The sequence below is a fragment of the Homo sapiens genome, chromosome 3 (assembly GCF_000001405.40).
Source record: "Homo sapiens chromosome 3, GRCh38.p14 Primary Assembly".
NCBI classification, from domain to species: Eukaryota; Metazoa; Chordata; class Mammalia; order Primates; family Hominidae; genus Homo; species Homo sapiens.
Window position 1 is genome coordinate 117249016 of NC_000003.12, and position 12330 is coordinate 117261345.

The 12330-nt window shown below is 37.5% G+C and overlaps 1 long non-coding RNA gene across 1 annotated transcript in view; it reads right to left on the reverse strand.

Annotated features, from left to right (window-relative positions):
- LOC124909415 (uncharacterized) overlaps positions 1-12330 on the reverse strand; it is a 274299-nt gene that overhangs the window by 244970 nt on the left and 16999 nt on the right. Inside the window, exon 1 of the long non-coding RNA XR_007096015.1 lies at positions 1-12330. This exon is cut by the window's right edge and continues 16999 nt beyond it. This is a non-coding gene — a long non-coding RNA (uncharacterized LOC124909415).

Genomic DNA, 12330 nt, shown 5'->3' on the forward strand with positions numbered 1-12330 from the left:
CCACGAGGTGAAAATAGAACTCTTCTTCTTCCTGAACTTCACTCTTCTCAACTTGTCTGTGTACCACGTTGGAACAGTGCAGAGTTAGAAGTCAATTAACAGTGAAGGCCAGTATTTCAGTTTTAGCTCAGCCAGTGAGTCATTTTGTGACCTTAGGCAAGTCATTCAGCTTGGATTAGGACTCAGTGATTTATAAGGATCCTCCAGTTTACAGAAGACCATGTTTTAGAAGAAAGCAGCTCTAGTATATGATCTACACTCTACTACTTAGTAGTAATTGAACTGGCAAGTGGCTCAGTCACTCTCTGCCTCAATTTCCTCAACTGAAAAAGTATGTAACCCTCATGGAGTTTGTGAAGATTAAATGAGATAAGGTTTCTGAAGAGCTTAAAATGGCACCTGGCATTTAATAAGCACGCAATGGCTTTTTGCTCTTATTGTTACAATGATGCTTCATCATCTCCCATAGTAGTAATTTCCTGTGTGCCTGGTAGGTGTCTTTAGCCAGCCACTTTACTAACAGACTGATTGGATAAGTAATGATTTGGAACAATCAGCACTGGAGGCAGGTTTGGGAAGGAGAGTCTGGCTGATTGCTGTTGTGTTGTTTTTCTTTCTTTTATGACCCGTAACCAGTACTTACTGGAGCAATATATATTCACAAATTGTAGTCCCAGAGAGTTGGAAGGAAAGTTGCTATTTAAAGGCTGCTCACAATGTCTTGATTGGCATTTTGTGGTTACTACACAGAAATGAACTGTTGGAGAAGGATTGATTTACCTAGTATGGTTGGTTTTGCTGTCTCCAAACTATGCCAGGTTATACTAGGGATAGATCAAACAAAATTAATAAATATGTAGATAAATGAAAAGGTAAAATGTTTTAAAGTGCTTAAGGTTTAGTCAGGTATACGAAATGCATTCACAATTGAAATAATGATGTTTTACTAAAAAATAGGTATCTTTACTTGTGATATTATTGAGTTTATCATATTCTAATTACATTGGCTTATATATGAACCAATATGATATTATTGAGCCAATCATATATTTGAGGAAATATTCTAGGTAGGGAAGTTTCAGTGAAGTATGAATTTTGTCATGGAGTCTTCTTGCTTAATATGGATTGTGTGAAAGTACTTAAATAAAGCTTAGAAGTTACATAGTAGATAGAGGGGATGGAGAATTATAAAAGAATAGAAATTAATTTTTTAAAAAATTAGAGGCAGAGTTTGCAGCACCTAGAGAGGGTGCTATGGAGATGGTCTTTACTGGGTAACAGGTAGGAAGGCATAACATCTGTTAGGTAAGGAGGAACTCATGAGTTGCACATTTCATAGTTTCTGTTTTAATCAAGAAATTATTGGTGAGACATTATAGAGTTTTGCACACGGAAGGAATGTCACGAAATAAGTGAAGTCTCTGATTGAACCATCTGAAATTGCCAATATTTGATCTTTTCTATCTTTAAAAATGGCAGTTTCATGTGTCTTGATCTAAAATCTTAAAATCAATCTTTCAATTGGATAAGAGGCAGGGAAATTAGCTTGGAAGGTAAATCTATTATCCAGAGGCAAAATTTCATGGGCTTTGATAAAGGTGGATATTTTTCGATAAGGAGGAAAGAGTAAATTTTACTAACATACTTTGGCTTTTGTTCAGTTTTCTTAACCTCTATTTTCGCTTTATTATTTATTTTTTTGTTTTACTCTTGGGAAAGCAAATTATTTGTTTTCTCACATCTTTTGGGGTCCAATTTTGATGATTCTGATCTTTTTTAGTTGCTTGACCTGTAGACCCTCTACAGAACATTGCAGGGCCTCTTCTCAGAGGAGCAGCGGTGATGAGCTTAGTTTCCTAGGCTGGGACTGTTGCGCTGGACTTGACAGGTGAACTGAAAATTGCAGGGATAAGTACACCTATTGAGAACAAACATCCCATCTCTTTATCAAAGCTCTTCATTGGCTTTGGAAAACTGCTGTAGGCCTAAGGAAACTAAACTTTCTAGGGATATTCTAGGTTTTAAACATATGAGAAAGAGAAAGACGTCGGTTCTTATTTAAGAGAGTTTATGAGACCTTATCCTTGAAATAGTCAAATTTATAAATGACATAAGGCTGTATGTGTAGTTAATAAAACAGGAATTCATAGCCACTCAAATGTTCTAAACTTTCAAAAATGATTTGGGGTTCTGTTTTGGGATTAAGGAACACTGAACTTTGAACCATTTCAACCCACTTCTAATTCTGAGGTCTAGAGATACAATATGTAGCATGGCAGAGTTACGGCATCAGCTGATGAATATCCATTGAAGTGAAATGATTATAAAGTTACACCAAAAAATAACACCATCCATGCTTGCAGAGTTGGGATGACAGAATACTTATGAGGTATTTGCTTTTTAGTTATATATTGCATTATAGGCTAAAGATTTGGGTCTATTTGCTGAAAGTCACTAATCTAATAATATTTTCATTATTAAAAGTGGAGGCAATATTAGGGGATCCTTGAAAATTTAGCATGAGGCTGGAAAACAATACCCCCCGGCCCCAGACCCATCTTTCAAGCTTGTAGTAACCAGCAAAATCTGCTGTGATTCCTGTCTTTGCCATCTATTCAGGTTTCATTTTGTTGCTCAAGGTTCACTGTACGTTTGGAGAAGGAGTGGGGCAAAAATAAATAGGGTGAGGATACGGCATAAATTAGATACCTAACATGTATCTCTGGCTCTCCTCTTCACACTTTAGAACCACGGTCACAGAAGGTGAGAGTCCGCATGAGCTCTTCTCTCCTTTGGCCTAACTGACTTTCTTTCTTCTCATGGAAAATATGGATTTCCTGCATTTGTTCTGGTGAGTAACTCGAAGGCAACATAGCCCGGGATGTTGGGCACCAGAACAAATATCCTGGATAATCTACCTGCTAAACACATAGGTGAAAAACAAAAGCATCTTATTTTGTGTGTGTGCACATGTATTGATGTTTCCTCTTTATCTGCTCATGGTAACAGGTTTCCTCCTCTTCTGTTTTCCCTTTCCCCTTTCCTCCTTCCTCTTAATTTATAGAAAAGAGTGGGGGTGGGGGTTAATGAAAAATGGAGAGACTTCTTTTTGTCTGATAACATAGGATCATTCATTAGTCAGATCTATGGGCTTCCTGACCTAAAGTGAGCTCCAAAGCTCTGCCTGGCCCTGATGATGTGTTTGGGAGAATATGTGCCAAGCTCTCTTTTCTTGCTGACACTTTAAACTCTGAGTGGTCCTTCAGAAGCTGAGTGAAATGAACTTAAACCAAGGCCTGGAGTTTGGGATCATGGGTAGTTGCATTCATGCCTGAAGTGTGAACAACAATACAATTATACTTTTCACTTTGCATTTCTCTGACACATCTTAGCGTCAGACTATTGTTTGCTAAATGAGTCATGTTTATTAGTTTTGTTTCATCCGTATGACTGTAAGCTCCCAGAAGTCAGAGCCCCACCAGACATTTTGTTGTATCCTTCATAGCAGGCTGCACAGAGGTTAAATAAACATTGACATTTCACAAAAGTGGAACAACAGAAAAAGAAAGAAAAAATATGAAAGATACAAGAAATTGTAGGCCAAGGAGAGTGTGAGACATAAAACAAAAAAAGGCAATCTTGGGAAAGGTACCAGGAAAGAAGAAAGACATGACAGTCATTGGGGTTGAGGGTCCCTATAGAAAATCATTTAGTGAAAGATGTCTTCCTTTAGTTCTTCTTCCTTTTTATTCCCTATCCACATCCTTGTTGTCCTCCCTTTCTCAGTTTCTCTGTGTGTAGCCCCAAAAGAAAGCTTAACCATGGACAGCAGCTCAACAGGCCAGGCACACTGCAAGTTAGGTGTCACCTGGACAGGCTAGGCTTGCTAACAGCCAACAGGGATGGGGTTTGAAGTCCTGAGGGAGACTGGAGAGCAGCTGTGCAGTACTCAAAACCCAAACTCAGGTCATGGCCACTGATCCTACCCAGACCTCTCTCTCTTGAGTTATCCATTCTAATTTCTTGTCCTTCTCTGAAGCCCCTTGAGGTTGGTGAAGAGTGAAGGAATGCATCCTGAGTTATTAAAGACACTCCTAAGAAGCTCATTAAGTCCTTTTCTCCTTAACTCCAAGAAAAGATCCCATTTTCCTTCCAACACTTTAAAACCATTATTCATTGGATGGAAACATCCTTCCTCCCCTCAACCCTTTTCAAAGGGAATCATCCAGCCCAGGACTATGAAGTATCCCTATGTGTGGCAGTTAGATTTGGTGACAAAAAGGGCTCTAGTCTCTCCTTGTTACAAAGAACAAAGATAAAATTATGCAGTTCAGGCCATAAATAGTGAGGCTGAACCGAGGCCATCAGTTCTCAAGAGAGAGGATTCAGACCAATTTGTTTTCCCCTCTCCTTTCCTTTGAATCCCACTTTCTGTCTTCATTCCCCTGTCATCTGAGTGCTATTTGGCCCCTTTACTTTATTTTAGTGTGTCTTCTCTTTTCTTTGTTTTTTTCAAACTCACTCTTGACCATTCTTCGTTCTATTTTATTGCAGTCCCGTTTCTTTCCCTCTTTCTCTGTCTCTCCCTCATTTACTTCTCCTGAGATTTACGCAGCTTGACTTCATGAGCTCACTGTCACATCAAGGGAAAACAGAAAGGAGGAGCCATGGCTGGAGGGAGGAGGCTTATCTTACCTTGTAACTGTGTTAACCCATTGTGTGGGGGTGGGATGAGTACTGGTTTTTTCTTACTCTTGAGTAGTGCTCTAATAGCTCCATTACCTCTGCAAGCACAAAGATGCTGTTCGCTTTTAAAGCAGCAGGGCCTGGCTAAAAGCCTGCCATAACCAATAAAAGCCTCAGCTGTGCTGGCCCTCTCCAAATCTCCTCACACCCCAGGCTTGTAAGCTGCCTGAAACAGAAGTTAATAGTATTCATTGGAATAAGACATCTCCAATGGACTTCTTCCAGTCTATTTGGATTGCGGTGCCCTGCCAATGACAAGGAGTGGTGAAGAGATATCAGGGTTCCCCTGCCTCATGTAGAGTGCATTCTCATGAAAGAGATTTTGGCTGGAGAAGTTAAGTAAGGCAGTCTTTCTATTGTAAGAGTCACATTTACTTCATAGTATTATTTTGAATTCTGCAATAGTTGAGAAGAGAGAAAAGATGCATTGCTCTTGCTTTTCTGAAAAAAAGACATATTGACCACTCAGATCCCTCCAAACATGTTAATTCCATTTTCCATTCTCCTGCTCCCCCTGTGTCTGTCACTGATGTTCTGTCTGCCCTTTTGGTCTTGTTCCTTCTTTTCCTTCCTTTTCTTTTCCATTCTTCTCTTTTTTTTTTCTTTTTTCCTCTCTCTCTCTCCTAATTCCATCTTAACTCAAGGTTCTGAAATTGTTATTTTATCTAACTGTGAAAGGGCGTAAATGGATGAGCTAAAGTTACTCCAATCCTTAACCATTTCATGCCAAACCTGTTGTCACACTCTTTATTGGTACAGAACGGGTCATTTCCTACAAATTTGACGGGACCATCTGCTCCTCGGGATGCTGCTAGGTGGTTTTCAGTGGCATGAGGAAAGTCTTAGAAAATATACTGTAAGGAGCTACACTGATTGACCAAAGCAGTTGTGAAAAATCCTTTAGTTTCTAGAAAGGTGGGACTGGCTTGGAGTTATGGATGGACAGCGAATTGTTGGCAGCAATCAGGGGAAGCAATGAAGAGATATGGGGTAGAAGACTGTTAAGAAATAAATTACTCTGGAGAAAGGACCAGGGAAAATGGATGAGGAGGAGAGTGGAGAGAAGAACAGCTGAATCCTAAACAAGGGCAGGCCTGGAGTTGTCTCGATGGTGTCCTCTGACCTGACACGGTATGCTTCTTGCCACTTTGTGCTGTGTGCTGGGCAGCCGCTCTTCACCAGGCTATCTGGGTATTCTCTCTCACACACAATTTCCCATAAACAAATCCCCTGTTGCCGTGAATAATGCCACCATTTTGCTTGAGAAATTATCTGAAGTGTTTTTCATTGACTTTCTTTGCTTAAATCTAGAGGATGGCCCATTCTAATCAGAGTGTGTATCTCCCTCAAATTTATTAGCAAGTCTCCCATTTAATCCCTGATTTACGCTTTATTCATATCCCAGTGGTAATGCTGAGATTGTGCTGACATCAGCTTTCCCTGCCAAGGACACATGAACCACGCTCTGGAAAATACACATGCTTAACAGATGCTATGAAAATGAAGTTTCCATCATATTTCCACAGAACTCTAGGCCTTCACCACCTGACCAAACCTCATGCCCCAACAACCTCTATGTCTCCCTCATTCTCTCTCTTTCCAGGGCATGGGTTTCTCCATGAATGGTCTTCTCACAGATCTTTCATCTTTCATCATTACCTCTTTTCTCATCCTTAGTATCTTCCCCATTCTCTTTGACCAGAAGCAAAGGCAGAAAGTGGGAATTGACTCAAGTCTCCCAGAGGGCAGATAGCAATGCCATACTGGATACAGGATGAGAGTGGGAGCCTCACTGAGTCCGTTATGATTCATGAGTGGAGAGTGAGGATATTAGTTCTGGAGCTGGGGGTTTCTCATTAGCACGGAGGGCAGACCATAGAGAAGAAGAAAATGAAGCAAAATCTCCTTTTTTTGTGAGATTTTTTACTCAGCTCTAGCCAAGGGTCTGGATCCTGAGCATTTCTCTTCCTTCCCACTTTTCTTCCTTAAATCCTTATTTTCTGCTTCCATTTTCTCTCAGTATTCATTTTACTCAGCAAAAAGGTGAATCTAAACCATAAGACCTAAAGACTCAAATGGGTGCTTTTCATGGTTACTCTGTTTTTTCTCTGAATAAAATATCACATGATTGTACACTTTGTACAGACTGATTGAATTGTTCTAAGTAAATACACAAAACCAAAATCAATAAAGGTTTAGAGTTAATTCTGTATCTGGAAGTAGGTGAAGAGAGTTTTACACTAGTTGGATTCCAAAGTTGCAGATATTGAAAACAGAAACAATAACAACAGAAGGATAATTATACATTATGATTGTGAGGAAGCTAGAAACCAGTGCAAAAGAATATTTTCGCACTAAAAATATTTTAGTTTTTCTTGAGTGCAGAGAAAACAAAGAAATATTCTGTTGCACTACATTTTTTTTGCACTGACTTGATCTCTAGCTCTGTTTGTTTAGACAATGTGATTCTGAGGACAAATACAGGAATTTAGAATTGAGATTTTAGTTCAAATCTTGATTCTGCCATTTAGTAAGCAGATTATTTTATATAGGCAGATAAGTACCTCTTAGAATTTGCTTTTCCATTTGTAAAATAAAGATGGTCATAGCATACTTATAGGGATGTTATTATGGTAATTTAAGAAATATTTCCTAATTATGGCAATTTAAGATTTATTATGGTCTTTTGTATTTCCTACTAATATATTTACAATGGAACATCAGCTAAGTGAGATATATATTGAATGACTTTATGAATATTGTGTATTAACTTATAACTGGAGAAGCTTCTTTTTTTTTCTTTTTTCTCCATATGGTTTTGCTGTTTGAATTTATTATTGTTATTGGAAGTCCTCTTATATCCAAAGAATTTATTTTAGGCCTTTGTACCAAAAATAAAAAAAAAAGATTTATTTTTTAATGGCAAGAGCCTATTCTGAGATGCTTCCTACTGGAAACTTCCTTAATAATTTTGCTCCTGTAATTTTTCTTTAATGAAAATTGACTCAACCAATAAGAAATTTCATTTGCTCTCAAGATCTGCCTCAGTTTACTTCTATTCTCTGTTCCTTCCTTGCATTGTTGCTCAATGCTACACTTAGAACCAATAAATCAGACATGGTTCATGCCTCAAACACTGACAAAAACTGAGACACATAAAGAAAATTTAGATTTTCTTTGTTGAAATGAGGGCTTGCCAGTTGCCAGATCCTAGTAGAGCACATTTCCTAGTCACTTTCCAGAGAATAGGAGAAAACTCTGGGACAGTTTTTCAGGGCTTCATACATGTTACATTACTGTATAGACTGGGATATTTGAGAACATTACTATGTAATTGCTACATTAGTGTTTATCATTCTGTACCATTAAATAAATTCCCCATTCTTTTTTGAGAGAGAAATGGTTTGGGTCACCACTTAACTTATTTAATATTCAACAAAGATAGTCCACATAGTCTGACTGGGGTTTTATTTTTATGGCAACAATAAACTAGGAAAGAAGCTTCATAAGTTGCTTTTTATTCGCAAACAGTAAAAAGCTGGGTCAGTATATGATCCTACTAATGGGATTGAAACAAGCTAGCCCTCAATTACTGTGCATGTCTAATATTCATTAGCCAAATGTTACTGTGTTCTATTAAGATATGTTAAAACAATTGGATCTGTAAGGGTAAAATAAAACTCCAGGAGTTTAGGGAACACATCTCACTTGAAATATATCAAGCAATCTTTACTATTCTCAAAAAAAAAAAAAGGAGAGAAAACAATAGAACCTGAGATAGGTTATGGAGGGCCTTTCTAAGAGATACTTTCAAAGCTTCAGCAAAACAGAAGCATGACAAAGAAGCGCAGGGGAGTGTTTAAAGGCAAGAGTCAGAAAAGTGGAAACTTCTGAAAATGGTACTAACTTGGTTTTCTACTTGAAAGGGAGTAAGCAGAGAATAAAATAAAATAACAATTAGTGAGAGAAGAAAGAGAAGAAAACAAGAAAGAGAAGGGGGAAGAGGAGGAGAACGGTAAGGAGTTAAGTGAAAAGAGAAGGAAGGGAAGTGAAAAGAGAGGAAATTTAGTGTGGGATGGGATCACAAGAAGAGAATTGGAGCCATGTGGATCAGCAATCCAGCCTTCCACTCTGATCCTTGTTTAGGCTCTTCAAGTCTTAGAGTAGATCCCTCTCCTACTGTTTGCACCATACCCTACCTACTAGAGTTAGAGAAGTGATCAAATGTCAAAAATGTCTTTAAAAATATATTTAAAATATTCTAATTAAGATTTCCAAGTAGCAAAGATTCTTCAGGATCTTTTTGCTATTCATCCTTGGAATGAAGTAGAACTTTCGGAGATCATCTCAAATTTATTTTTTTAACTTTTATTTTAAGTTCAAGGGTACAGGTGCAGGTTTGTTACACAGGTAAACTTGTGTTGTGGAGGTTTGGTGTACAGATTATTTCATCACTGAGATATTAAGCCTAGTGCCAATAAGTTATATTCCCTTATTCTCTCCTTCCTCTTGCCTTCCACCCTCTGATAGGCCCCAGTGTGTATTGTTCCCTTCTATGGGTCCATGTGTTCTCATCATTTAGCTCTCACTTAGAAGTGAGAACATGTGTTATTTGGTTTTCTGTTCCTGCATTGATCATCCCAAATTCTTATTCCAAAAACACAACACTTAGGATGATTTTGTGTTTACAAAATTGCAGGTCATGCATTGGGGCAAATTTCTGTGGCACTTGTTTTTTCTATCACTATTTATTTTGGGTCAAATAATTTTTGCAAACTGTTGTGAGTTGCTGATTAACGCTATGCTTTAAATTTTGACTGCTTATAAAACAACTAAGCTTATTATTATTGATATAACAGAAAGTTAAAATCAAAATAAAATAAAAAGAAAATCAGTATGAAAACCCACTTATGGAAGAAATGTGCTCCAGGATAATATTAAGGCTTTACTTTGAGTCAATCATGAAGGCAGGAATGAAGGAAGAAGATTAGGGGAGGCTTGATGTCGCAGCTGTAGAGCTGGCTTTCTCCCGCACTTGCAGAGGTTTTCTATTTAATTGACAAGAAAAGATGCAAAGTAAAACACATACTGGGGTAGGAAAGGAGGTACCATAATGCCTTTAACATTTACGGTTCTCAGAGGTCTTAATCTGATCCTGACCACACAATCGGTATAAATTAACCCAAATATTACCCTTTCAAAACCTATGAAAAGAATTTACAATTTCATCATATATATCATAGGTCCCCATTATAGTGCTAATTTAGTCAGAATAATGTCATCCACATTATAATGACAAAAACACACCATATATTAAGATGCATGTGTGGAATATAATGTGACCTGCCTGAAAACTAAAACCTTGATACAGCAAAGTAGTTTGTGAATTTCAAGTAGATCCACCATTCATAGTCTAAATTGTTCTTTCAAATACAGTGATATTAGAAAATTGTTAGTTTATTTCTTTTCTAAGAATAGAGATGATGCTAATCTGATGCTCTGCTATCATTTTGTAGAGTTAAGCACATCGGCCCGTTTCCGAATACCTTTTCTTCTCACACAAGGTTTGAATAGTCAGCCATTAGAGAGAAATATACCTGCAAGTCAACTCTTCAATTCAATGTATTTAGGATCAATAGGCATCTGTCCTTTCACATATCAAATCGTTAACATGTTTTTATATATGCTGTCTCAATTATCAAGATATACTTATACAACTTTATACAACTCTTTTTTTTTTTTTTTAACAGAGTTTTGCTCTTGTCACCCAGGCTGGAGTGCAATGGCGTGATCTTGGCTCACTGCAACCTCTGCCTCCTGGGATCAAGTGATTCTCCTGCTTCCGCCTCCTGAAGTAGCTGAGATTACAGGAACCCACCACCACACCCACCTAATTTTTTCATATTTTTAGTTGAGACGGGGTTTCAAGGATAAAATTAATTCTCTTTGGAAGCAATCATGGAAAAGAAAAAAATGCTTATATGCAAAAGACACTTACACTTTCTTCCTGCCTACTCCGTATTTCTAAAGACTGAGGTTTAGCCAGTTAACTAAAGTTACCACTGAATCATCTTTTAAAAATTGAAGACTTGAGGTTGTTAAAACTGGCTTTACTTTGAACTTCACACACTGTCTGTTGAATTTTGGAAGGGCAAGAGCATAGTTATTGAAGGAACTTGGAGAGTTTCTGCTAATTAAGACCTGTTCACTTGAACCAAGCAAATGGCTACACATCTTATAAGAATAAATGGTCTTCCTGATCCTACCTGTCTTTCTATGCATTAGTTAAGGTGAGTAGATGACGTTTGACTGGCAGCTTATTCTGGGACTATTTTATGCTCCACAAGGAAAAGACACTAAAAATAGAGAAGATAAAATATTTAAATTATTTTGCTTGCTCCAGTCTTTTCAGCTCCTTTTTTCATGTAGAAATATATAATATCTTTAAGATATGTAAAAGTTTTGAATTGATGACCTCATTTTTTCATAACTATTTTTAATAGATTCCTAAATCAACTACTGTTTAAACAATTATATGTCACATTTTTAAATAATAGGTTTATACATAATGTTTTCATGTAATTTGAATATTTATTCACTAAAAACTTTAATTTTTATTAAACGCAGCAGACACTTGCACAATATACATATACATAAGTGCTTTGACATCTACCACTGAGTTACTGAAATATCCTTTTCAAAACCTGTCTTACCACAATCAACCAAGTCTTTCAACATTGCACAGAGAAAATAAATATCTCAAACTGTCTCTTCAAGTGCTCTTAAAGCTAAGAAACTTAGATAGGATTAGTATCAAAGAATGAAACAATATATTAAAAATCTGAAAACTGCATTACAGAAGAGTAATCTTTCCATTCAGATAACAAATTATATCAATGCATATGCGCTATAGTTTAGTACAGACACACACACACACACACACACACATATACCCCACAGTTCATCCAGGGAACATATTAAAACTATAGTAAAGCACCCTAAAGACCCTAAAGAGGTGTTTGGGAACATATTGCACATGATAACTCATTCCCTGTAGGCAGATGAACTTCTAGACTTGGCGCAAGTAAGAGATGAGGGTGCAGCAGGTCAAGAGAGACCAGGGATAAAGGGAGCAGTCAGCAGGTTTTAGTGCTCTTGCAGCCTCAAACTCATGGAACCCTGTTGGTGAACAGAGGAGAGTGACCTGGAGCTTGGATAAAAATGACAACATTTTCAGTAAAGCTACTAAGTTGTAATATCTGGTCTTCAAATCTATGCTTGCATAATGCAAGACTAACAACGAATCTCTAGGATGCTTTCTCTACAGACACATTTCAAGGCTAAGACTCAGAAGATAAATGTCAACCCCGAAGGAAATTACTTGAGAGAATTCTAAGAGGCTGAAGAGAAGCTATCAACACTCTGGTGACAATGGTGCTATGAATAAGAGAGTGGATTCCTTTGTTTTCAGGCCTCAATCTTTTCCTGACTATGGTTAGTAAAGGGGTAAGGTTGTTTTTTCCTGATAAGTGGCTTTTTTCATTTTGCCTGCACTAAAAGCAAGATATATCATGTCTGACCTTT